Raw genomic sequence first — 824 nt, forward strand, 5'->3', positions numbered from 1 at the left:
GGAGATGCAGACCGGTGCAGGAGCAGGGATGGAAGGCGAGCCAGAAGAGCCAATGCGGCGCCGGCGGGACAGAGCCGACCAATCAGGCGGCTCGGCAGCGGGGCAGAGGTCAGGGGGCGGGCCGAGGGGAAGCCAATGACAGGCTCCAATTGGAGGCCGGACCCTGGACCTTTCCGGGTCTGAGGCCGAGCCCTGTGATGAGGGGAGCCACCGCCTGGACTCCAGCCGGGGTGGCGTAAAGCCCAGGACCTCCAGTACCCCATGGGTTCTGGTGGCAAGCCCATCTCCCCTACACGACTTTTTTTTTTTTTGAGACCGAGTCTCACTGTCGCCCGGGCTGGAGTGCAGTGGCGCGATCTTGGCTCACTGCAACCTCAGCCTCCCAGGTTCAAGCGATTCTCCTGCTTCAGTCTCCCGAGTAGCTGGGATTACAGGCACCCGCCACCACACCCGGCTGATTTTTTGTATTTTTAGTAGAGACGAGGTTTCGCCATGTTAGCCAGGCTGGTCTCGAACACCTGACCTCAGGTGATCCACCCGCCTTGGCCTCCCAGAAAGTGCTGGGATTACAGGCATGAGCTAGTGTGCCCCGCCTTCCCCTACACTTCTATTGCCCTCCTCTCCCCGGAGTTCAATCACCCCTAGCTCTGACTCCAGGGCTTTCCCTTCCTGGGAAAACCCAAGGATGCAGGAGCCTAAAACTGACCTTATTTCTCAGTAGCACCCAACCATTCCCTCTCCTCAGAAGATCCCAGTCCCACCTCCCATCTTTACCCTTAAAGCGGCAAAGGCAGCACCCAGTTCCCTCAAAAATACTCAGTGGC

General features: G+C 59.2%; 1 annotated feature.

Annotated features, from left to right (window-relative positions):
* Nucleotides 14–173: a silencer, noted in NCBI's record as "silent region_4171". NCBI's record gives its function as "represses an Ori minimal core promoter by ATAC-STARR-seq in GM12878 lymphoblastoid cells {active_cell/tissue: GM12878}" and the evidence as "EXISTENCE:reporter gene assay evidence [ECO:0000049][PMID:35858748]".

The sequence above is a fragment of the Homo sapiens genome, chromosome 12, assembly GCF_000001405.40.
Source record: "Homo sapiens chromosome 12, GRCh38.p14 Primary Assembly".
Taxonomy (NCBI): domain Eukaryota; kingdom Metazoa; phylum Chordata; class Mammalia; order Primates; family Hominidae; genus Homo; species Homo sapiens.